The 25,509-nt window shown below is 36.0% G+C and overlaps 1 protein-coding gene across 9 annotated transcripts in view, besides 4 other annotated features; it reads left to right on the forward strand.

Annotated features, from left to right (window-relative positions):
- Positions 1-25,509, forward strand: part of CLCN3 (chloride voltage-gated channel 3) — a 103,096-nt gene that overhangs the window by 20,295 nt on the left and 57,292 nt on the right. For 2 of the 9 annotated variants that reach the window (XM_005262726.4, NM_001243374.2), the window contains exon 1: positions 19,368-19,576. The exons of 4 other annotated variants lie outside the window; for them this stretch is intronic. In XM_005262726.4, the coding sequence (XP_005262783.1) occupies positions 19,498-19,576 (79 nt within the window). In that variant the 5' untranslated portion in view covers positions 19,368-19,497. Of the gene's footprint in view, positions 1-19,367; positions 19,577-22,660; positions 22,746-24,772; positions 24,951-25,509 lie in introns of those variants that run through there. 3 more of the 9 variants (XM_011531586.3, XM_047449585.1, XM_047449586.1) reach the window with 2 other exon arrangements.
- Positions 19,306-20,178: an enhancer, noted in NCBI's record as "NANOG-H3K27ac hESC enhancer chr4:170581329-170582201 (GRCh37/hg19 assembly coordinates)". NCBI's record gives its function as "activates a minimal SCP1, AML or CMV promoter by ChIP-STARR-seq in primed H9 embryonic stem cells {active_cell/tissue: H9 hESC(primed)}" and the evidence as "EXISTENCE:reporter gene assay evidence [ECO:0000049][PMID:30033119]".
- Positions 19,361-19,460: an enhancer, noted in NCBI's record as "active region_22144". NCBI's record gives its function as "activates an Ori minimal core promoter by ATAC-STARR-seq in GM12878 lymphoblastoid cells {active_cell/tissue: GM12878}" and the evidence as "EXISTENCE:reporter gene assay evidence [ECO:0000049][PMID:35858748]".
- Positions 19,761-19,820: a silencer, noted in NCBI's record as "silent region_15795". NCBI's record gives its function as "represses an Ori minimal core promoter by ATAC-STARR-seq in GM12878 lymphoblastoid cells {active_cell/tissue: GM12878}" and the evidence as "EXISTENCE:reporter gene assay evidence [ECO:0000049][PMID:35858748]".
- Positions 23,066-23,360: a silencer, noted in NCBI's record as "tiled region #12659; K562 Repressive DNase matched - State 6:EnhF". NCBI's record gives its function as "represses a minimal TATA promoter and a strong SV40 promoter by Sharpr-MPRA in K562 cells {active_cell/tissue: K562}" and the evidence as "EXISTENCE:reporter gene assay evidence [ECO:0000049][PMID:27701403]".

Consider the following 25,509-nt stretch of genomic DNA (forward strand, 5'->3'; position numbering starts at 1 on the left):
AACTTTCAGTAGTTAATTTATGTTGATAACGTGATTATGCTAGTAAGTTTAAAATTTAGGCGCCTATATCCTTTTTTATCACACCTGAAATGTTTACTTGACAACATCAAGGGTCTCCCAGGTTTCTGATTATGTATAGACTGAGAGGGAAATGTGAGAGGAGTAAGAGTTGAGAGGGCTCACTCCTAAGTGTTTGATTTCCTATCTATACATAACTTTAAAAAATAAAAATAAAAACAGCCTTGGAAGCTGGGTGCCTGTAGTCCCAGCTGCTTGGGAGGCTGAGGCAAGAGGATTGCTTGAGCCCAGGTATTCAAGGCTGTGGGGTGCTATGATCGCACCTGTGAATAGCCCCTGCACTCTGGCCTAGGCAACAGTGAAACCCAGTCTCTAAATAAAAATAAAAAACCTTTGGAAATACTAAAATGCAAATGTGAGGTTTTCTGATTTATTGGGAATCTTGGGGCATGTGATAACTGGGAATGGAATCCAGAGAAATTACATAGATTATTATATTCTACTTCCCATATATGTAACATTCTGAGCTTCAGAACTCAGAAACCACATAGTAGACGAGGCTCAGAGGTGGACTGTCCTGGTCAAGGTGTTGTGATCCTACCACCTGTGCTAAAACTTAAGCTACCTTCTGAGCTATTACAAGAGATTCCAGTATTTTCATTCAAATATCTATTGTTAGATTGAGCTTTATTCAAAATATTTGTAAGTTTATTCATCTGGTATTCTTCTGGGTGGCATATTCATAACTACTGCCTACACAAGACGTTTCAAAAGAAGAAGCTTGGCAAAGTAGATGCAGAGTGATAATGCCAGAAGCTGAGTGGCCATCTCTTAGTGTGAAGACACCTCCTAGAGTGAGGGTACACAACACAAATACAGGGTCCAGCCTTTCCTCCTGTAAACGCAGAAACATGGCATCAACATGAAACTAGCTGTCTCTAAGAGGCGGATTCATATTAACTAGGGTTTTAGATCTCATTAGGTAAAACCATAATACAAATGTATTTATAGTGAGAAATATACTAATAATCTACTTCATTCCAAAAAAGGATATAAAGCAACTTAAAGGGATAAACAGAATTCAATCATTTGCATAAGTATCTGACACAGATGAAGCAAAGGGAAAACAACTTGAGGTGACGTAAAATGTAGATATGAGACCAATAAAAGTTACCAATATACATTTTAAAATTTATTTTTTTTTTTAACTTTAAAAAATGTTTTGTAGAGATGGGATCTCACTATGTTGACCAGGCTAGTCTCAAACTCCTGGCCGCAAGCTCTCCTCCTGCCTCAGCCTCCCAAAGTGGTGGGATTATAAGTGTGATCCACCATGCCCGATTTACCAGTATACTTCTTGAGAGGAGACTACAAATTTGCCTCTAAACTTCATAGCAGCAAGTAAATAAAAGAACCTGTTTAGTTAAATGATTCAAAGTGTTTATAAAACAAAAACCTAACCAATTGTTCAGCAGACACCCTATTACTAATATTAAGATAAATCTCCGGTGACATTATGAAGTGTTTACTAGCTAGTGTATGAAACAGTGATTTTTAGGAATATGCTTGGAGTAAGCAGTAAAATTTCACAGGGCTTTGTTTTTTGTTTTTTGTTTTTGAGATGGGATCTGGCTCTGTTGCCCAGGCTCTCTTGCCAGACAGGGGTCTGACTCTGTCACACCCAGTGGCACGATCTCAGCTCATTCTAACCTCTGCCTCCCAGGCTCAAGCCATCCTCCCACCTCAGCCTCCTGAGTAGCTGGGACTACAGGTGTGCACCACCACACCTGGCTAATTGTTTTGTATTTTGTTTGTAGAGACGGGGTTTCTCCATGTTGCTCAGGCTGGTCTGCAACTCCTGGGCTCAAGCAATCTACCTGCCTTGGCCTTTCAAAGTGCTGGGACTACAGGCGTAAGCCACCGTGCCCGTCCTCACAGGGCTTTTATTATTAACATTCTTCAATATCTCCTACTTGAATCACAAGATTCCACAATGACACCATTATTATATAGTATAAACATTGATTATTTGTGATGTTCTGGTAGGATTCATAGGTGTATTTTAGACTATCTTCGAATAGATGGACTGTATAGAGAGTTTCAGGAGGTCATCAATGTATATTTTTTCTGAGGTTTGATATATATTAGGTAACAGTGATTTTAGAATTATAACAGAGCTATATTATAAAAGAGTATATTATTTACATTTAGCTAGTTTTTCTTTAGCAACAGAACACAACCCAGCTGAATGTAAGACTGAATAGAAGCCACCAGAAGTCATCTTAATGAAAAGTAAAGGCTATGCCAATGGGCAAAGTCAGGAGTCTTCATTCAAAATAAAATATATATATATTTTTGAGGCAGAGTTTTGCTCTTGTTGCCCAAGCTGGAGTGCAATGGCGCAATCTCTGCTCACTGCAACCTCTGCCTCCTAGGTTCAAGCAATTCTTCTGCTTCAGCCTCCCAAGTAGCTGGGATTACAGGCACGCACCACCATGCCTGGCTAATTTTTTGTATTTAGTAGAGACGGGGTTTCACCATGTTAGTCAAGCTGGTCTCAAACTCCTGACCTCAGGTTATCCACCCGCCTCGGCCTCCCAAAGTGTTAGGATTACAGGCGTGCACCACTGCGCCTGGCCTCAAAATAATTTTTTTAAAAAAATTCAGGGTCTCATTCTGTCATCCAGGCTGGGGTGCAGTGGCATGATCACAGCTCACTGCAGCCTCGACCTCCATGGACTCGAGTGATCCTCTCACCTCAGCCTCCCAAGTAGCTGGGACTATAGGCATATACTACCACACCCAGCTAATTTTTAATTTTTTTGTAGAGATGGGGTATCTCACTATGTTGCTCAGGCTGATGTCGAACTCCTGGGCTCAAGTGATCCTCCCATCTCGGCCTTCCAAAGTGTTGGGAAGCTGTCTGGCTCACAGTGGTGAATACAAGTTTTCCAAAATTTAGTTTTTGCTTGAGAGCTCAAATTTTTTTTATTGGCAACAATATACTGTCAGTTGTTTTACTTGAAAAGACAGGTTGAGAAAATGTCTGGCAAAATCTTTAGCCTAAATAACTAAAGTGAGTGTGTCAGTTTTTCTTTCAAAGAAAAATGGTGTACCATGAAAAATGTTCAGCCCACAACTCAAATATTCAGATAAGTGCTTTTCCTCAGGACGGAACATTGTACAACAGTATGAGCGAAAGTGTTCTGTTCGTTCTTTCTACTTTGTTACACAGAATATTAAAAAGATGTGTACTCAAGAGTTGTGATTTAATAAAATGAATACTTACTGTTTTATCAAGAACATTTGGAAGTGAAACAGGCTTTTGTTTTCTGCAAATTCATGTTGATGAAAAATATAACAACTGCTTTTTTTTTTCTTTTTTTTTTTTTTGAGATGGAGTCTCCCTCTGTTGCCCAGGCCGGAGCACGATCTTGGCTCACTGCAACCTCCGCCTCCCGGGTTCAAGCAATTCTCGTGCTTTGGCCTTCTGAGTAGCTGGGATTACAGATGTACACCACCACGCCTGGCTAATTTTTGTCTTTTTAGTAGAGATGGCCAGGCTAGTCTTGAACTCCTGATTTCAAGTGATCCGCCCGCCTCAGCCTCCCAAAGTGTTGGGATTACAGGCGTGAGCCACCGTGCCTGGCCAATACAACAAGTTCTAGTAAATTTTGGTGCCACTGTTTTGATTTATGCTAGATATCAAGCTGTCTTCCTCACTATTGCTTTTGTACTATAAATGAAAGGCCAATACAATGAACAAGACAAAGAATGTTATGGTCTGCTTAATAATGGCCATCCCCACACCCGAATTCCCAAAACCTGTAAATATGTTACCTTTCATGTTAAAATGGACTTTGTGATTAAATATCTAGAGATGGAGTGATTATCCTGGATTATCTGGGTATCTCTGATGTAATCACAAGGGTCCTTAAAAGAGGGAGGCAGGAGGATCAGAGTTAGTGGTAGCAGACATGATAATGGAAACAAGAAGTCATGTGAGAAAAAGGCCATAATCCGAGGAATGAAAGTGGCCTTTGGAAGCTAGAAAAGGCGAGGAAACAGATTCTCCCCTGAAGCCTCCAAAAGGAACACTGCCCTGCTGACACACCTTGATCTTAGACTTCTGGTCTCCAGAACTATAAGAAAATAAATTTGTGTTGTTTTAAGCTACTAAGTTTATGGCAGTGTGTTACGATAACAGTAGGAAACGGACACGGATATCTTAGTATTATCGAAAGTGTTGTTTTTAACCTTGTGGACCCCTGAGAAAGATTTTTGGGGTCTCTCGACAATTCTTGACCACACTTTGAGAATTCTAAGATAAGCTAGCTGCCAAATGCACACTGGGTACATGAATAAGGTGACTTGTTATATTGTATTAAAAACTTTAAGAGTGAAGGGTTTATATAAAAAGGGTAAAATCTACATATATGATTTCCCAATTCTCTTCAAATATTATATACACACACAGAAAAAACATTGGAGGAAAATACACCAAAATAATGTGCTTTTTCTTCATGATGGAATTTGGGGATTTATAATTTTTCTTTATACTTTCAGTATTTTCCAAATTGTCAGCAATTTGGCTGCAGAATTAGAAAACTGAATTTAAACTTCCAGGTCATTCCGAGGTATATTTGTATATAGGATAGAACATATTAATAGTTTAAACTTGATGTATAACTAAATATTTTGTCCATATGGTAATTGGGCCTTCTGTTGTACTATTGCCCTGGCCCTTGTAAATGTTAGGTTTGAGCTTGTGCCTGGCTGTCATTTTTCCAGGTCTTTATACATGGTCCTTTGTCTAGAATACTAGTAGTATTCCAATACCAAGTAGTGCTAAAGTACTACTTTTACTTTGCTTCTTAAATTAGCCCTCAGTCCCTTTAGTAAGCCTTACCTTACTACTCAGTTAAAGTTAAGGGCCCCTCGTATGTAGTAAACTGGGTGTTGCTTCTATTGTGCTTGCATTCTTGACTTTATCTGTATTTGTCTTACTTGTTTATAGCCTGCCCTCCTCCTAAATTGAGCAACACATTTTTTTTCAGTAAAATTATCCTAGTAATTTCTGTTAGTTTGTAAGTAATTTATTTTCCTATGTACATAGTTCTGTTTAGAGCTGATTCATTACATTTTGATTACATAGTTTAACTCTTGATGAGCATTCTTATTTTTTTCTATTTCCAAGTTTTGTGGGGAAGGGATATTCATATATAATGGGCAGCCATATATACTGTTTATTTTATCCTTCCTTCTTACAAATGTCTAATATATTGGCATGCATAGAGTAGGAGCTCGTTAAGAGTTTACTTCTTTGTAAAATAGTCATCTATTCAACATATTCACTGCTCATATTTTATACCTTTTAGGAGTCTTTTTTCCTTTTTAATTATTATTTTTGAGACAGAGTCTCACTCTGTCATTCAGGCTAGAGTGCCCTGGTGATATTTTGGCTCACTACAACCTCTGCCTCCCAGGTGGAGTGTTGAAGTGATTCTCGTGCCTCAGCCTTCCGAGTAGCTGGGACTACAGGCATGTGCCACCATGCCCAGCTAAGTTTTTATACTTTTTTTTTTCAGTAGAGATGGGTTTCGCTATGTTGGCCAGGCTGGTCTCGAATTCTTGACCTCAAATGATCTGCCCCCCTCGGCCTTCCAAAATGCTGGGATTACAGGCGTGAGCCACAGCACTCAGACCTTTTAAATTATCGAACTAATACAGTTATATAAAGTTTTGGTTTAGCTGGACACTAAACTGGTGGGTTATTCAGTAGAGTAGCAGGATATAAGCCACTTATCTATATTGTTAAACTGTATTGCATAAGGGCCCACCAAAATGGTAGTGTAATCCAGAAGGAAATAGGGATAGAATAGAAAGCCAGGAGAAAACCACAGAGGAAAATGGCTACCTGCCTGACATTAGTCAGTGTCATCACACCCTTTTAGATTTTCTCATCTAAAAAATGAAGGGAAACATATCTATTCTACCTACCTGATTCAGATTAGTTTTGGAAACAAAAGAATACGGTAGAAGAAATGATGGAAGTGTTGCTATTTAATATTATATGTGAGAGTCCTTTATGATAATTTTAGCCTGAGTGCCCAAAGTTTAAACTTACTTATACTTTCTGCAGCTATCAAACAGACTACCTACATCATGACATTCAGATAGATTATCCTGGGTTCATAAAAATCTTATATGGTTGGCTGGGCGTGGTGGCTCATGCCTGTAATGCCAACACTTTGGGAGGCTGAGGTGGGTGGATGGATCTCTTGATCCCAGGAATTCGAGACCAGCCTGGGCAATATGGCGAAACCCTGTCTCTACAAAAAATAGAAAAATTAGCTGGACATGGTGGTGCTTGTCTGTGGTCCTCAATATGCAGGAGGCTGAGATGGGAAGATCACTTGAGCCTGGGGAGGTCAAGGCTGCAGTTAGCCGAGATCAGCCACTGCACTCCAGCCTGGGTGACAGAGCAAGACCCCATCTCAAGAAAAAAAAATCTTATATAGTTAACTTTAGGTCTTAGTAATGACTTGGATTGCCTAGGAGAAATGGCAGAGTCTAGGACTGAGAGAGTAGAAATACAAGATGTGGCCAGAGTGTCTTGTAGTACCAGGAGTGAAGAAGTACTCATAAAACAAAGGATGGGGGCACATCAGAGGAACACAGGAACTTACCTGAAGAAGCTCCTAAGGGTCAAAGCTGGAATAATTTGAGCAACAAAAATAATGTAGCATGAATTATAACTCAAAGTATAAAATAATCCCATATATATGATATAAAGGATATAAGTTGACATAAAGGATTGAATAAATATGAGGCAAAAGAGACAAATCTCCCATCAAATAATTTATGTACCCATTCCATTCTATGGAGGAGAAGCTCAATTCCTACCTCCCTTGAGGGTGGACTGGACTTAGTGACTTACTTCCAAAGAATAGAGTAGGGAAAAACCTGGAAAACACTATCTTAGCCAAATAGTGAACATTAATATCACCAGAGATAAATCATAGATATCATGTACTCTTGATATGTGACAAGAAGAGCATGTCACCTTTGTGATAGTGTTTCCAAAGACCCATAATCCTAGTCTAATCATAAGAAAAGCAACTGATGAGCTTAGACTGAATGACATTTTACAGGATACCTGACTAGTCAAGATCATGAAAACTAGGAAAGACTGAAAAACTAAGACCGAAGGAGTTCAGGGAGACAAGATAGCTAAATGCAATGTGGATCCTGTATTGGGACCTGGAATAGAAAGAGGACACTCATGGAAAAGGTGCTGAAATCTATGTAAAGTCTGGAGTTTACTTAATATACAAATGTCAAGTTTCTTAGTTTTGACAAATGTATCATGGAAATGTAACGTGTTAACAATTGGGGAAACTATGAATGAGAGGTATTTGGGACATCTCTGTACTATCATTGCAACTTTCATAAATCTAAAATTATTCCAAAATGAAGTTTATTTTTAAAAATGGACTGGAGTTAACTTTTAAATAATAAAAGCAAAATGTGCTTATTGTAGAAAATATAAATGATGAAAAATATAAGGTAGAAAATGAAAACTACCCATAATCCTACCACCCAGAGATAACTGATTATTTGGATATGTCTTTTTCTAGACTTAATTCTATGTGTATTTCACTCAGCAAATAATTATTAGACTCCTTTGTGGACCAGACATCTTGGTAGGTGCTAATGATAGAGCAGTGAAGAAGAATGATGTGTCCTTCTCTTATGGAGCTTATACTCTAGTGATAGAGGGTACTATTAAACAATCTCACAAAAAAAGTTACAACTGTGATACGATAAGGGCTGTAAAGAAGTATGAATGTCAGCCAGGCACAGTGGCTTATGCCTATAATCCCAGCACTTTGGGAAGCCAAGATAGATGGATCACTTAAAGCCAGGAGTTCGAGACCAGCCCAGGCAATGTGACTAAACCCTGTCTCTACTAAAAATACAAAAGTTAGCCAGGTGTGGTGGTGCACACCTGTAATCCCAGCTACTCGGGAGACTGAGGCACGAGAGTCGCTTGAATCCAGGAGGCAGAGGTTGCAGTAAGCTGAGATGGTGCCACTGTATTCCAGCCTGGGTGATAAAGGGAGAATATCTAAAAAAAAAAAAAAAAGTATGAATGTGAGAACATATAAGTGGGGAAATCAAAATTGAATATGTATTATTTAAGATGAGAACTGAAAAACGAATACAAGTCAGGCATGTGAAAGAAGGAAGCAGGGCATTGGAGGTGCTAGGAGCTTGTACAGGTGCAGTTGCAGGCAGAGGGAAGGAACTTGGAGCGTTAGAGGTAAAATGTCTGGAGTGCAGAGAATGATAACTAGAAAGCGAGGGACTGAGGCTGAAGACGTAGCTAAGCAAGGTCTAAATAATACATGTAAAGTTTTTGGTACTTTTCCCCAAGAGTGGTGGGAAACCACTGAAGATTTTTGAATCAAGGGAATCATACGAACTTTGTAATTTAAGAAGATCATTCAGAGGCCATGTGGGCAAATGGACTGTTAGGTGGTGAGAGTATGGAGGTAAATATAATAGTTCAGAAAAGAAATTATAGTGTCTAGGACTATAGGTAGTGATAGAGAGTAGAGAGATTCAAAATAGATTTAGGAGTAAAATCAGCCAGATATACTGATTGTTTTGATGTAGAATGAGGGAGTATAAGGATAAATGTTCTGTATTTCTAGCACATGCAGTTGGTAGTGCCATTTATAAGGCAGAGAGTTTTTAATATATAAAACACTGCCTTATGGTGCAAGAGCTTAATCATTTTTAATGGTTGCATAATAATCAGATACACAAATGTATTTTCAGTTCCCAGAAATAAAACATCTGTTAATGTGTAGTGAATATGATGTTTTGAAAATTAGTGGTGAAAGGCTGGGCGCGGTGGCTCATGCCTATAATCCCAGCACTTTGGGAGGCCGAAGCGGGCAGATTGCTTGAGCCCAAGAGCTTGAGACCAGTCTGGGCAACATGGCAAGGCCTTGTCTCTACAAAAAATATAAAAATTAGCTGGGGCATGGTGGTGCACGACTGTAGTCCCAGCTACTTGGGAGGCTGGGACGTGACCATTACTGGAGCCTGGGAAGTTAAGGCTGCAGTGAGCCATGATCATGCCACTGGACTCCATCCAGCCTGGGTGACAGAGCGAGACCCTATCTAAGAGAAAAAAAAAATGAGTGGTGGAATTGTTGCTAAAGATAGTCTGAGTGCTGATAAAACAGTTGAGTTGGTTCTTTCTGTGACTAAGAATAATGAAGCTCTTTGTTTGATATTAACTGCTGGTAGAAAACATTAATAAAACAATCCAAGAAAGGTGTTTTAGGAAACACAGTATTCTCGTATGTAGATTTATAAGCACAGAAAAATTTCCAACAGTATAAAGTTGTGGTATAGCTCCAAGAAAAGTATTCTTAGTTAGAAGAATTTGGCTTTGCTACAGAGTTTCAAAGGTTATGTGTGCGCATATTGTCTTCAGTAGATGACAAGTTGATTTTAGTTTTATTGTTTTATCTGGCATTTTCCAATAACATTGGTAGTATTCTAATGAGTAAGACATTTGACTCTAAAGTCAAATTTGACAACATATATTCTTAAGCCAGTTTAGAAAGTATAGAATGGTGGTTACATTGTAAATCTTTGGCAGAGTTTTTGTAAGAAATTCTTAAATGAAGTTAACATATCACTGCTACCATTTAATGTCTGTCTGTTGGGAAAAGGTCAGAGCTCTTTTAAATGCTCTACTCTGAATTATTTTTAGAAATAAACAAATAATTCTAAAGTTCATCTGATATTTATTCTAAGCAGGGTCATGTTCTTAATACATTTGACACTTCACATTCTGTTGCCAACTACTTTGTAAACATTTCTACACCTGTGTCTCCAGACTGCTTCAGCCAGAGCAACTTAGTTAACCTATTATACTTATATGAGGGAGTAGGAGACTGCCCAAATTTGTGCGTTTATATAAGAGTAAGGTAATGCATTTAGGGAAGACAAACTCATACTAGGTTTATGAAATGCTGTAATTCAGGATGTTACTAATGAACTAGGAAAGAAGTTGGTATTAATAATAAACTGGTGCCTTGATAAAATTAGCCTAAGATGCCAGTGGAAAGTCAATCAAGTACTGGATAGATATCATCAGAAAGGTCATTGGAAAGAAATCAGCTTAATTTTATAATATACAGAAACTGGTGGTTTATACCTCACTTACCACCTTAATTATTGTCATTGCATTGCAAAAAAAATTTTTCTTCTTAAAAAAATTTCAAAGAAAGTTAACTAAAATGATTACCTCTTCACTCTACCTTTCTCACCCTAATATCATGATGCGACAAATTAACTTTTCTTCTGTGCATGTAGAATATTACCTATGAACTGTCCTTGGGAGAATTGAGAAAATTTTCAAGCTTCATGTTTTGTGTTGTGGTTCTGGTTAAGAATTTCAGTTGAAAAGGGCTGGAGGAGTTATGTGCTAAACCTGTAAAATCATAAGCTGAAGCAAATATAGTCATTTCTTGGTATTTGTGAGAGTTTGGCTCCAGGAGCCCCTCAGGTACCAAAATGCATGGATTTTCAAGTCCCCTATATAAAATGACATAGTATTTGCATATCACCTACACACATCCTCTTATATGCTTTAAATTGTCTGTAGATTACTTATGATACCTGATAAAATGTAAATGTGTAAATAGTTGTGCTACTGTATTGCTCAGGGAATCATGACAAGAAGAAGAAGCCTGTTCATGTTCAGTACAGAACAACCATCCATTTTTTTCCTAAATATTTTCAAGCCATAGTTGGTTGAATCCACATATGTGGAAACCACAGATGTAGAATCCCTGGATACAGAAGATTGATTATACATAAAATAATAAGTCTATGGACCTATTTTACACAGTTCTGAAATACAGAGGAAATTCCTTGGAAAAACCAGCACCTTAGAACACATTGAAGTCAGTTTAGATGCTTATGAAATTTGTTACCTACAACTGATTGAGACTGTAAATAAGATTAAACTAGAAGGGTTTAGGTAGGGAAAAAAAGAAGAAATCCACATTAGATATTAATAGAATTAGAGATACTTAGGATATGTTTTTAACTTAAAGACTTTTGAATTGTGACATAACACATCAGAAAATGCATAAAACGTAATTGTGTAGTTTAATTAGTTATTACAAAGCAAGCATCTTTGTAGCCCACTGAGGTTAAGACAATAAAGCATAACCATATTCCAGAAGCCTCCTGTGTACGTTCCTAATCACAACCCTTCCTTTCCCTCTGAAGGTAAATACTATTTTCTCTTTGTCTAATCACTTTCTTGCTTTACTTTGTGGTTTGCTCATCTAGGTATGCATCCTTAAGAATATAATTCATTCAAGCCAGAAATGGTGTGTTGAAAAAAGAAGTATATAATTTAGGATTGCCTGTTTTTGAAAGTTAAGTAAATGGAATCATATAGTGTATATGTCTTTGTTTCTTGGTTTCACACAATGTGGCTTTCAAGAATCAGGCATGTTGTTGCAGGTAGTAGCTGTGTGGTTGCTCTAAACTATTATATATCATTTTTTAAAAAATGAATTTACTACAGTTTACCTATTCATTTTACTTTTGATGGATCTTGAAGCTCCTAACAGGTTTTGGTGGTTACTAACAATGCTACTTTGAATATTATGCATGTACTTGTGTGGTACTTAGGTCCTTAGGTGCACAAATTTTATTTGTCCTGGATGTGAACTTGTTGGGTCATAGGTCATGTTTTCCCCAGTAGTGTTTCAGTATACATTCAGACCAAGAATGTATGAGAGCTTCCATTGCTTCATGTTCACTAACCACTTGATATTGTCACACTTTTAATTTTGTCAGTGTGCTAGCTATGTATGGATTTTGATTGTGGTTTAAATTTGCATTTTCTTTGTAGTCAAAGAGATGTAGCATCTTTTCATGTCTATTTGGAAATCCTTTTCAGAGTACCAGTTTGGGTCATTTACTCATTTTTCTATTGGAGTGTCTATCTTACAGATTTGTAGAAGTTCTTTATTTTCTAGACACAAACTTTTTGTTGGATAAATGTGTTACAGCTATCTTCTATGGAGTGCATTTCACTCTTCTAATGGACAAATTATGAACAAATATTCTTAGTTGTAATGTGGTCCTATGTGTTAATCTTTTGCTTTATGGCCAAGGCTTTTTGTGTCTTAATTTTAAAAAACGTCCCTACCCTGATGTTATGAAGACATTTTTCTATATTATTTTGTAAGAGCTTTGCCGTTTACATTTAGTTGTGTAGTCATCTGATTTGTATATGTGTGTGTGTGTGTATGTGTTAGAGTGTATTCATTTTTTTCTCATATAGATAGTGTGTTAGTCTGTTTTGCATTGCTGTAAAGGAATACTTGAGGCCGGACAATTTATAAAGAAAAGAGGTTGGCTGGGTGCGGTGGCTCAAGCCTGTAATCCCTGCACTTTGGGAGGCCCATGTGGGTGGATCACCTGAGGTCAAGAATTAGAAACCAGCCTGGCCAATATGATAAAACCCTGTCTCTACTAAAAATACAAAAAATTAGTCAGGCGTGGTGGTGGGCGCCTGTAATCCCACCTACTCAGGAGGCTGAGGCAGGAGAATCACTTGAACCCGGAGGGTGGAGGTTGCAGTGAGCCTAGATCATGCCACCGCATTCCAGGCTGGGTGACAGAGTGAGACTCCGTCTCAAAAAAAAAAAAAAAAAAAAAGGAAAGAAAAGAGGTCGTGCAGGCTGTATAGGAAGCATAGTGCTGGCATTTGCTTCTGTCTGGTGAGGGCCTCAGGAAGCTTCCAATCATGATAGAAGCTGAAGTGGAAGCAGGCGTGTCACATGGTGAGAGAGGCAGCATGAGAGAGATGCCAGGCTCCTTTAAACAACCAGCTTTGTTGTGAACTAACAGAGCAAGAACTCACTCATTATCATGGTGAGGGCACCAAGCCATTCATGAAGGGTCCACCTCCATGAAACAAACACCCACTAAGCCCACTTCTAACACTGGAAATCGCATTTCAACATGAGATTTGGAGGGGACAAAACAACCAAACCATATCAGATAGCCAGTTGTCCCAACATCAATTACTAGAAAACAATTTTTTACCCACTCTTGTACAGTGCCACCTCTGATACATATATGAAGGGCTCATTATATATAGGAGGGCCTATTTCTAGACTCCCCATTTTGTACTATTGGTTTTTCATCCTGATAATGGTTGTGTGTCTTTTTCTTCTCTTTTTCCCAATTCTTCTCCGTCTCCTTTCCTTTCTCCTATTCCCTCCTCTCCTTCCCTCCTCCTTTCCCTTCTTCCTCTCTCTTGTTCTCCTTTCTCTCCCCTTGCCCTCCCCCATCTTAATCTGTGTCACTGTAGATTTATCAATAGTTAGTTTTTCCAATGAATTGGTTTGCCTTTTTTGTTCTTTTCTATTATGTATTTCTTTTCTGTTTCATTAATTTCTGATCTTCTACTTTCTTTGAGTTTATTTTGATGAGTTTTTTTTCTAATTTCTTGAACTGGATGGTTAGCTCCTCAGTTAACTTGCCTTTAAGTGCATTTAAAGCTATAAATTTTTTTTCAGATACTGTTTTATTTCTATGCCATATGCCTTTTTTATTATCACTATTTAAAAATCATTTTTAACGTTTATAATGAGTCTACTTTGGGCTATAGGTTATTTAGAAGTTCAGTTTATAATTTCCAACACATGAGGAATTTCTGGCTGTTTTTAATTATTTATAACATTATTGCATCGCGGTCCGGGAATATGCATTATGTAATTACAGTGTGTTGAAATTTTTTGCAACTTGCATTGTGGCCCAGAAAAAAAGTCAACTTTTGTAAATGTTCCATGTATGCTATAAGAATACATAATGTGAAGTTTTCAGTTATGGTGTTCTCTCCATGTCCATTAGGTAAAGTTTGTTAATCTATGAAAATACTCTGTTTCTTTACTGATTATTCTCCTTGTTTGTTTCTATTAAGTATTTTAAAAATTTTCACTGTATTTGCACATTTATCTACTGCTTCTTGTCATTCTGTCAATTTTTGCTTTATATACTTTGATCTTATGTTATTAGGTTATATCTTCCTGGTGAATTGAACCACTTTTATTTTTTAAATAACTCTATTTCTAATTATAGTTTTTTATCTTACAATCTACTTTGATATTAATATAACTCCCAATATTCTTTGGATTAGAGTTTGCATATTATACTGTTTTTATCCTCTTTACTTTCAGTCTTTCTGCATCTGTTTGTTTTGTTGAAACTCTTGAACTGTATAGTTGAACTTTCAAATCCAATTAGGTAGCATTTATTTTCTAATTGGAACATTTAGTTTGGTTCCACTTAAGGTAAATAGTGGCATATTTGGATTTAAATATTTCTAAAATTTAGAACTCTTAAAATCTTTTTTTGCTTAGTCTTTATATTAGCTTATGTTCATGCCTGAATATTTGAGAAACTCCTTCAAAAGGAATTGTTTAGGCATTAAAACAGGTTTGCCGGTTTTGGTTCTGATTTTGAAAAATTGATCATCGTGTGATGTTTTTTGTTTTTGTTTCTAAGATGGGGTCTTGCTCTATTGCCCAGGCCAAAGTGCAGTAGTGCAATCATGACTCATTGCAGCCTTGACCTCCAGGGCCCAAGTGATCCTCCTACTTCAGCCTCCTGCGTAGCTAGGACCGCAGGCATGTGCCACTATGTCCAGCTCATTTTTATAAATTTTTTGTAGAGACGGGAATCTGGGAATCTCCCTATGTTACCCAGTCTGGTCTTGAACTCCTGGCTTCAAGTGATCCTCCTGCCTCAGCCTCCAGAGTGCAGGGATTATAGGCATGAGCCGCCATGCCTGGGCCAATTGTGTGATGTCTGTGAAAGCAAACTCTTCATATTTTTATTCCTGTGATATGTTATTTGGGTAACCGGATAGCTATATTGGAAACTAAAACTTCTTATGTTTATGAGGTATGAATATTATAAAACCATTTTGTTTTTTCCATTTATTTTCTGGCTTGTCAGTTTTAAGAATTTCCACCTCTTCTTTCTTTAGGGCTTCAATAACTTTACAACTAATTGTGTAGTTTATTGATTGTCCCCCAGAAAAGCTTTGCTGTATCTTTTTTTTTTTTCTCTGATGCATTTTGATTCGGAGAATGACTGACAATGCAAGTTAAGGTTTAGTGCCATATAGTGTGTCCAAATGTAAACTTAAAGCAGCCTGTATTAGTCCCTTCTCATGATGCTATAAAGAAATACGTGAGACTGGGTAATTTATAAAGAAAAGAGATGTAATTGGCTCACAGTTCTGCACGCTGTACGCGAAGCATAGCGTCTTCTGGGGAGGCCTCAGGAAACTTACATTCATGGCGGAAGATGAAGGAGAAGCTAGCATGTCTTACATGGCCAGAGCAAAAGCAAGGAGGGCAGTGAGGGAGGTGCTACACACTTTTAAAGAACCAGATCTCATGAGTACTCTATAATGAGATAGCACCAAGTGGATGGTGCTAAACCTTTCATGTAGGCTCCACACCATGATCCAGTTACCTCCCTCCAGGCCCCGCCTCCAACATTGGGGATTACAATGCAACATGAGATTTGGGTGAGGATACAGATCCAAACCATATTACAACCATACTGATGGATTGTAAACTACAGTTTTTAACCTGCTTCTATTAATTAGAGGGGTAAAGGTTGTAATTTTTTATTAATGTTTATCTCATGTAAGTGGTTTTATTTATAAGCATTCTTTTAAAAATCTTTTTGGCTTGGTGCAGTGGACAGTGTTGGGTGGGCCTGGACAACGTTGTAAGACCTATCTCTACAAAAAAAGAAATTAAAAAATTAGCCAGGCATGGTGGCACACACGTGTGTATTCCCTGCTATTGGGGAGGCTGAGGTGAGAGGATCACTTGAGCTAGGGGGTCGAAGCTTCAGTGAGCTATGATCATGCCACTGTACTACAGCCTGGACGTTGGAGTGAGACCCTGTCTCTAAAATAATAAATACAAATAAAAAATCTTTTCATTATGGAAGAAATTTTAAAACATGGAAACATATGGAGAAGAATATTGTGTACCTTTTCATCCTGGTCACTTACTTTAATTAATTATCAATTCATAGCCAATTTTGTTTCATTTCTACTCCCTCAATTATGTTGTAATCTGAAACATTGTGTCATTTATATAGGTAGGTAGATATACATGTATATTGTGTATTTCTAAAAGATTAAGATTCTTTTAAAGGTCATTATTTTAAAATATGAATAATTCCTTAAAATCAAATATCTTGTGTTTCCCATTTCCCCAATTGTTTCTTAAAAAATTGTATTGCTGTATCTTTTAAGTCTTTTTAAAAAAAATTCTGTAGGTTTCCCTCTCTCCCTTTTTCCTTACTAAATTGTATTTGTTGAAGAAAACAGGTCATTTGTTTCCTAGTTTGGTTTTTTCCTGATTACATTTTTGAGCTATAATTTAACATGTTTCTCTGCTCCTGTATTTTCTATAAGTTGGTAGATTTAAAGGCAAAAAATTGTTTAAAATTTATTTTTATTGTTTTAAAATTTAAGTACTTCTAATATTGTAGATTTCTCAGATCATTACTGTTACAAGGGGCGGCTTAAAGGTAGAACTCTTAAAATATTATTATCATCTATTCTGCCTTCCTGGTTTGTAGATACAGAGACATCCCAGAGAGGTTGTGATTTATCCAGATTTCCACATCAAGTTGAGATTACAGTGGAGGGTGCGTTCGAAAGTAAAAATAACTTCTCCTTTTGAATTTTGATGGCTTCATGTGTGCTACTTGTGATTTTGGTTCTTTAGAATTCATCCTGAGCATTTTTCCAGAGCTATGCCTAGGAATTCTTGAATTTGTCTTCTGCTCTCTCTCTATCTGGGCTCCACCCTGACTGTAATTCAGTTTGTTAATATGGTAATAAAAAGTCTCTATCAAAGTCCTCTTATGTGTCAAAGTCCTCTTTTGCCACATCTTCCAGTCTACCTTGTGCTTTTCTAAATTGTGATTGGACTTAACCTGTGTACTGATTCTTTTACTTTAAGAAAGTGGCAGTTGTGGACCCCATAAACACAAGAGATGTGTTTACTTCTGAAGTTTTAAAGATTTTTAGGTTTATTATTACAAAAGTAATATATTTGTTTAAACAGTGTGGAATTATATAAACACTGAATGTACTCCTCAACCTCTCTACCTTATGTCTCAGTGATAACAATTGCTAAGGGCTTGATGTGTTTTATTCTAAACTTAATTCTATACAAATATAATTATATAGATATATATTATATATACACACAATTGTTTATCTTTAAAAATAATTCAAATATGGCTACAAAACTTTTACAATATGAAGCATTGTCAGTATTTATTTTACCGGGAGGATTTCCCCCATCAGTGAGTGCTGACTGTCATTTTCATTCTTTATGATCAAGTTGTAGATCAGGAAAAACAAGTTAAGAGAGTGCCTACAAATACCGGGAAAACTTGTGGATAGATTTTCATTTTTTATGTAAAGACATATAAGAACATGAATGGTATAAAAACAAAATCCTTTATAAATGCCATACAATTATATATTTAGAAAAATTATATGGTGGTAAAACATATAAAAGAACCACACACTCCCAAATTTACATTGAGCTAATTTAGTACAGTTAGCCTTTGTCAAAGCTTTCCTTGTTTAAAAAAACTATTGGCTCAGTGTGCAGGAAGGAGCATAGGAGAAAAAATTGCCAAGAATATTTGAAAAATACAGAAAATAAAGAAAAAAATCACCTACTATCCTATCAAAAATTTTAATAGCTAGAATCAGGATAAGATAGAATATTCCTGTGGCAGTAATTCTAGTCTATATTCCTTTCCTGGAACCCTGTCTCCCAAATTTCAGGTGAGATTTTATAAGAAGCTCTGTTTATCTGAGATTTAAAATATAAAAACTTGATTTAACCTATACAGTTTTTTAAAAAGACCCTAAATAAGTAAAATTTAGTACTCCACAAATTGAAGAGAATTTCTCTCTTCTCTTTACTGCCCTCTGAGTTTTCTCTTTCCTTCTCTCACCTCCAATTTTCATGTAAACACTTTCAGTTCGAGTGGACCTTAGAGATTGTCTCATTCAATACTTTAGGAAAACAAATTTTATAGAACCCTTGAGTTCTGTGGAATTGCTTCTAATGAACAACACCTTTTGTTGTTGTTGTTGTTTAGTGACACTGTGTAACAGGCATTTCAGGAGGAGAATCTCCCAGTCTAGAGGAATCCTCTCAGAGGTAGCTATAAAATATTGAACTCTGATCTTCAATAAGCATTGTGCGGTTTTTGTTTTTGTTTTTAATGACAGTTTTAAACAAGAAAGTTGCTTTATTTCTGAACTTCATAAAAATTTCTATTAAAGAGACAATTTCTGAATTTTATAACAATTTCTAGAACAGTTGAGTACCTCACTTTGAGACACATTTTTGCTAAAAGTTAAAAACACAAAACCCTTATGAGATAAAATAGGAAGCTAGTAGAGATAGGAAAGCCCTCTGCTTAGTAAACCTCTTTTTTGCGTAGTTTAGACACATACAATAGTAAAGTTACTTAGTACGTTGATAGTTTTCTTTCTCCTCAAAAGCTACAATGTCTTACTAGCTAGTTCCTTCAAGAAAGGAAACAAGAAGCCGCTGGAGGAGATTGGTGAGTGGGATAAAACACTATTCAACTCTTCAGTTATTCGGTTTTTAAATCCTCAATGAAAGGCTGCTGTATTATAGAGTATTTTTTTTTTATTTTTAATAGACTTAGAACCAAGTTTCTTGAGAAACCTTTGGCATATTGTAGTTTTTTTATGGCTATGACTCACATGACATTACTGTATAAAACTAGTACATTCTCTCGTAAAACCACACAAACTTACTAGAGTGCTGCTCTCATTTTTCTACATTAGAAATGAAAAAGGGCATTGTCTGCATTCAAAATTTCCTTTTTACATCTCTGTATTACTTTTTCCCCTTTATATTTATCTTAAAACCAAAAGAAATAATGTTTCTATTGTTTTACTGTAGTTACCACTGATGCTACCGAAGCTGTATTGTGAGTGTTTCAAAATTCTCAAACCAGTTTTGTGTGTTGTACTTGGAGCTTAGTCATTGTCATACGTAGCAGGACCTGATTAAGAAGGCTGTGCCGCCTCTAAGCCTTGCTAGATTGTAGCCACTAGCAACCAGGCTGCAATAATTTCCCTTTGATGACATCATCCACTGTGGAAGAACCCAGTTGCTTCAGCGAGTCGAACTACAGTTTTAACCTCATCAAATATGGCATCTCCCTTGCTTGCTGCAGCAGGGATGGAAGAAATGTCACTTTCTTTTTAAGCTAGCAAGCTTTTTCTTTTTCTTTTTCTTCTTCTATTTAAAAATTCTAATCATGGATGCTTCTTCCGACCCTTATTTGCCTTATGACGGGGGAGGAGACAGTATTCCCCTGAGGGAATTACATAAAAGAGGTAATACTATCCCCTTGCTGTGAATTCTCTGTTGGTATGTTTTGCATGCGGCTGGGCGGTCCTCTAGCTTAAACTGGTTCTCGTTTGTCCTTTAAATACTGCAGTACGTTGTTTAGTTGCCCTGGGTTGTTAGTAAGGGGAAAATGCAACCTTCTGAATGGTTGTGTAGCCATCCCTGATTGTTTTCTCTGTGCAGATTAGTACTGCTTCAGATCACGTCGGGCTCCGACTCCATCTTCTGCATGAAAATCTTCTTTCTAACTCTGAAAATGAATTAATCTGCTTTTACAGCCAACTAAAGTCGTGTTGGTTGGCATCTAAAAAGTAATGTTTTTCTTCCTTCAGAAAACTTACATTTCCTTTAATTTACACAGAGAAATCAGGTGCCTATGTACCATTATATTTTAGCTGCTGCCAATTACCATGTAGATTTTACACCACAAAGTAAATTTATAGCAAAAGCTTTACCTACATTTTAGAACATTTTAAAATGATAGTAAAGATGAATAATTTCTATATTAATACTTTTTATTTAATATGTATTTCGGCTGAGTAACATACTACATTGTCTTCCACAGGTATCTTGTGAAATTTGATATGATAAAACACATTTGACTAAATGTCAGAAAAAATAATATTGGTTTGTGAAAAGCAGAAGAGCACCCAGCATGCCTGTAAATCTTTTGGCAGGCACTTCCTCAGTCTCCTTAAAATTAATTGCATGTTAATTACTACCCTTTTTTTCATTTTTGTTTAATTGCTTATTCGAAAAACAGACTGGTCGACATTTGTTGTCCTAGAAAAAAATTGAACTTCAAGAAAAATCTCTTAGCTTATGTGACTTCATTTTTGAGCCACATTAGTTTGAATTACTGCATGATATTATAAACTCACCTTATGATTTAACCCAAACTTTTATTTGTAAGTATATAAGGAAGTAATAATGTTTTTCTAATATAATTAGCCTGCTTTATTTAAAATATACTTTGTGTTCTGATAACACTTTTTTTTTAGTATTAAGTTCCACTATAATTTAAACATTATAATGTATTCAACAAATGTCTGTTGGTTGCATTGTGTCTGCTACACACTATTTTAGGGTCTGAACAGTTGTAGCATTATTTATCTTGCAGTATTCTGTAGTTAGTAAAAACTTGCTTTTTACATTTTGAGAAAAGCTGTGTAAGGATCATGTTACATACATTGTGCTTTCTCTTACAGAGTTACCTTCTTAATAAAATTTTGATATATGTGTATATGTATATGTTAGAACATTTGGAAGAAATATCTAAAAGCATAAAGAAGAAAATAATTTCTTGTAATCACACCACCCAGAGCTTTTTAAATTTTTTTTCTTAATGTTACGATCATAAATTCTTCTATTTCCTATGTTCTGATTATCAGTTTTCTGGTAAGGAGTTCTTTAAACAGGAAGCAAGGTGAATGAATAGTGACTGTTCAAATGTCACATTATTTGCTAATCAGTAATTAAACTGTAAAACAAGACAGACTGTATTTTCCTCATGCTATTACAACATTTGGTTGTTAATGATGATAGATCAGAATACCTGGGCTTCAGAAATTTAAATTCCTTTTGTGAAGCTTAACAGTCTTTGACAGAACTTACTTATGGACTGTCTTAGTGTAAAATATGCAAATAATAAGAAATAAGTCAAAACTTATGTGAGAGTAGGCATGGTTACTGATATTACCTAAACGTAAGCTTTTTATTTCTATTATACTTTCATAAATAATCCTTTAAGAATCTTGCTTAGGATCTAAATCAGTCCCACTCTTGGCAGCTCAAATAGGTTCTTTATCCCTTGATGAGACTTATTCTATTAATATAAGTCATTGTTATTTGAAAGTAACATTGTGTATGTGTAGTAGAGATAAGTCAGTTATTAGGCTTTCGTGACTGTACTGTATTACCTCAAACATACTGTAGTATCCTAGTGTCTATGCGTAAGATGTTATTTTTTGTCCATAATTTATGACCTGTTGTAGCCATGGGTCAACACAATGGAATTGATGGAGACAGGCAGCTAACAAATCGAAAAAACTGAATCAGCTTCCCTGTGAGGAAGAACAAAACTATAATGATTAAAATTGATCTTCAGCCTGATAGTGAAGAGGCAGATAAAGTATAAAATTGTGAAGGATATCAATAAAGTAAACATGGATCTGTTTAGTAAATCCCTGAGTGCTATAGCCAAGGATTACCTTTGTTGAGTAAATTGAATTTAATACTACTTTTCAAGGCGAGATGGTAAATGGTGAAGCTTCCTATTTAAGTAAATAATGTCAAGTCTGGAAGTATAAGTAGATTCAAATTAGAATTAGTTTGATATACTATTGATAGATTAGAAATTAAGATGACATTTCAGAAATAGCCATCTTTAGGGGTAGATTTCCTATATAGAAACAATCAAGCTCTCTCAAAATGTCTCTTCCTTTTTTATCAGGAAAAAAGACTTGGCTTATCTGGACTGTTAGTTTTACACTTTTTCTTCTTAATTTGTTCAAGATGTTTAAGTAGTTTTAGAGGTCAAATTTCTTTCTTCTACCAACCCTTTATAATGGATTTGATCTTTTGGGCCTGAGCCTCCATTTACTCCATGAGGGGCCTTTAACAATTATTTAAATATTTAATTGTTTCATTCAGAGTGAGCATATATGTGTGTGTGTGTGTGTGTGTGTGTATATATATGTGTGTGTGTGCGTATATGTGTATATATATATATACATATACACACACATATGGCACTCCTAGGTGCTGTGGAGAATTATAAAAATAGTAATATTAATAATAGTTAATATTTATTAGAATTTCCTGTTAGCTGGATACTGTCCTAAGTGGGTTTTTTTGTTGTTGTTGTTGTTGTTGTTGTTGTTGTTTTCTTAAGAGAGAGGTATCACTTTTTCACCCAGGCTGGAGTGCAGTGGAGTGATTATAGCAAATGCAGCCTTGAACTACTGGGCTTAGATCCTCCGTCTCACCCTCCTTGGTACCTGGGACTGCAGGCTTGCAACACCTTGCCTGGCTAATTTAAAAAACAAAATTTTTTTTTTTTTTAGGGAGAGTCTCACTATGTTGTCCAGGCTGGTCTCCAACTCCTGGGCTCAAGCAACCCTCCTGCCTTGGCCTCCCAAGTAGCTGAGATTACAGGTGCGAGCCACTGTGCCTGGCTTGTTCTAAGTGCTTTATGTGTATGAAATTATTTAAATCCTCATCACAAGTTTATGAAGTAGGTACTGTTATAATCCCCATTTTCTAGTTGACAAGACTGAGGTAAGGAATTGTTAAGGAAAAGTCAGAATTCCATCCAGATATTTGGCTCATACTTTAATCATGAGGCTAAACTGCTTCTCTCTACACGTATCTTCATAGTAACTTGTGTTTTAAGTCTGGTAGAAGCATAAGAAGTTTAAACACAGACAGAATCCTGTGGAAGTTAGTAAATTTCTAGTGAACGATAGAAATGATAGAAATCTCTTCTTCCCCCAAAGTCCCAAGAACAGATTAGTCTGCTTTTGACAAGTGTTATCAAAGTAGACTGTTCTCACATACACAGGGGACTCAATAGGGCATTCCTGGTGGATATAATAAAATGAGTAAATGCGATAACAGGAGGAAATGCCTAGTGTGTTGCTCTTGGATTAGTTTTGATACAACAAAGGCAGCTTTGTTGTGAGTCAGTAGAGAGGGTAGTGTAGAAAGGTGGAAGTTGGAAGAGTGGCAGATCCTAGAGGACTAATGATGGGCTTAAACCACAAAAAGTGTCGCTTTGCCATTGAAATAAAAGTTTGGGGTCTTATTTTTTCAAGTTTCTCCCTGAAATTATTTCTTGACATTCATTAGCTCAGCAGTGTATCTAAATAAAGCTTTTTTGGGTTTCTATTATAATAGAGGTTTGTTCCTTTTTCTTCCCTTTGAAAAGTATCATTTTTTGCACATTATTTGAAAATCCAGGTGTTATATGATATTCTTATTGCCAGAGGGACATTCTGCAGGCTCTTTGTAAAATGATTTTAGGATTCAGATACTTATTATATTTTTATTGGCCCTAATATTTTATCCAACTAGAAAATTAAACCTCTTCTTAAAAATTAATCCATCTAAGTGTCTGTAAATTAAAGGAACAACTAAAGATTCTTTATTTGGTGTCAGAAACTCCTTGTTTCTACAACAGTAGTATAAAACAAAGCCTGTTTTTAAATGTACTTTTCCCACAGTATCTGAATTTCAAATCTTCAATAAAATCTGGTTCATATTACTACCTCTAGCTTGATTTTCTAAAAATAGCTGACACTTTAGTATGGTTAATTTTATGCCATCTCATGGCTTGTCAGAAATGCTTTGTATCAAGATTTCCGAGTGTGAACAGATTTCCTGCCGCATTGATTAAGTTTGTAATTTTGGCTATTTTCCCAGCATCGAGGTTTCTGCTTTGCGTTTATGCAGGAGACTGGTAGTTTAAATTGAACTTTAAGGTTTTGTTTCTTGTTTTTAAGTTAACATATGTTTAATTTCTAGTTTCTTTGTAGCCCTTTGCAACTTTAATTAGGTCATAAAATGGATTTACTCTAGTTTCTCTAACAAATTTTATAAATTTATGAAATATGAAATTTAGCAAATTTTATAAACCTTTTTATTCATGTATTGTACAGCTCATCATATTTGCAGACATAATAATTGAATGTGGAACTTGTTTCCAATTACACAGATGTCTTAATATCCACCTTATCATCTCTAACTAAGGATGTGGCTTTTTATTTTGAGGTGGCAACAGAACAGAAAAGAAAACAGTGAATTGAGTAATGGGCTTAGTATTGCTGCTGCCTGGTTGTGTATCTTTGGTAAACTTCTTTGAGATTTGGCATTAACTTGCAAGTCTTTGCAGTTTAGACAGTTAAATATGACTGAATGGCTGAACAAATTTTAATAGCGTATGCTTCTTTTTTGCTATTTATTTACCCAGTAGACATTTAATTGACCACCTGCTAAATGTGAGGCACTATTCTTGCCATTACCTTTTTAATCTTTGATTTGGAGTCTGCTAACATTCTGGAACTTCCACTATCAACTTAGAACGTTTACTTTCCCATCCCTTACCAGGATGGCCATTTCTTATCAGTAGGGTCACAGAGAGAGAAAAAAAAAAACCATCTGGGGCTAGACTTCCTGCTCTTAACATACAGAAGCAAATAGGTTGTGAAGGAATACATAGTATTTTGGATTTCTGCCTCTTCCTTCCATAATTTTTTTAAAAAGGTTCATATGTTTTATGTGTGTCTTATGTAACAGTAATCTGCATTATGAACTTAAATGACGAGGATCACCATTTCACATCTTTGGAGATTGATCACAGAGGTAATAAGTAACTCTTTTTAAATAACTATATGCATCATTTTTCATGTAAAACTATTATTTGGATAAACCCCTTTGAGAAAAGGCTTAGGCTCCTGCCAGTGTCACTGTGATATTTACTAATAAGCTCAGTTTAAGGCGCAGCAATTAAGGTTGTGTTGTTTTTTTTTTTTTAAGTTCAGTTCAGCAAATATATGTGGAAAGCTTGTGGGTAAAATTATATTTGTATTTTTGGGAAAGCAGACAATTTTATTAATGCCTATATTTTTCTAGTTCAGTGTTTGTCAAACTTCAAGTTTTAACATGTTGATCATGAAACCAGTTGACTTGTGACCAGTATTTTAAAAGGAAAGATTAAAAAAACAAAATAAAATATCAGTATATACCAAGTAGTAAGAGTAAGCATTGTTTACTAAACTTTGGTTTTATTTAAGTACATATCTATATACTATGTCAGTGAGAAACATTTCTCCACTTCATGTTTGAAAAACATTTCAAAAGCTAAGAAAAAGTTTGAAAACCTGTTTGTAAGTACACCTGGGGTAAAGGTACACCCTGTGGC

This window comes from Homo sapiens, chromosome 4 (assembly GCF_000001405.40).
Source record: "Homo sapiens chromosome 4, GRCh38.p14 Primary Assembly".
NCBI classification, from domain to species: Eukaryota; Metazoa; Chordata; class Mammalia; order Primates; family Hominidae; genus Homo; species Homo sapiens.